The 893-nt window shown below is 42.2% G+C and overlaps 1 pseudogene; it reads right to left on the reverse strand.

The window, feature by feature from the left end:
- Positions 1-549: 549 nt before the first annotated feature.
- LOC124906383 (uncharacterized) lies at positions 550-629 on the reverse strand (annotated as a pseudogene).
- Between the last annotated feature and the right edge of the window lie 264 nt (positions 630-893).

An 893-nucleotide genomic window follows, 5' to 3' on the forward strand; every position in this document is an offset into this window, starting at 1 on the left:
ATGGGCCTAAACTAGTTCCCCTATTCCCCATGGCCTGAACCATGGTGCAGTGGAGACTCACAGGTACTTGCAGGCTGTGTGTGATTAGAAAGGAACATGGAAACTGAGAGGACTGGTAGGCTAGAAGAAGCCTGCAGTCATGGAAAAAGGAGGTCACAGAGTGAAGGGGCCTTGTACGTGAAGTCATGACTAGAGATCTACAATCTTTTTTTTGGGGGGGGGTTTCTATTATTTTACTTTTTTATGAAGGTAAATTATTTTAATTTTATAAAAGTAAATTATTTTAATTTTAATTTATTATTATTATACTGTAAGTTCTGGGGTATGTGTGCACAACATGTGGTTTGTTACATAGGTATACATGTGCCATGTTGGTTTGCTGCACCCATCAACTCGTCATTTACATTAGGTATTTCTCCTAATGCTATCCCTTCCCCAGCCCCCTACCCCCTGACAGGCCCTGGTGTGGGATGTTCCCCTCCTTGTGTCCATGTGTTCTCATTGTTCAACTCTCACTTATGAGTGGATAGGAGTGGCGAGAGAGGGGATGCTTGTCTTCGGTGCTCTATACATTCAGAGAAACTTCTCTAGTAACAAACTGTAGAAATGATCCCTGAAAGTATAGTCTAGATATCTACAATCTTGTCAATGTCTATCAACATGGTAGCTGTGACAATGACCAAACGAATTGAGGCCGGCAAGGACACAGAATGTGGCACATGGACCAGAGGCTCTTCCCCACATTGTAGTAAGCTTTCCATGGGACTCAGAGGAAGGGAGAATTGGACGGGGAAGTTCCTTAAGAGGAGAGAAACCACTGTTATGAAGAGTATAAATCTGAATTACATTGACTCTTTATCTGAAGACAGTATTTAGAAAGAGATGCTGTTACC

Source organism: Homo sapiens, chromosome 3 (genome assembly GCF_000001405.40).
Source record: "Homo sapiens chromosome 3, GRCh38.p14 Primary Assembly".
Taxonomy (NCBI): domain Eukaryota; kingdom Metazoa; phylum Chordata; class Mammalia; order Primates; family Hominidae; genus Homo; species Homo sapiens.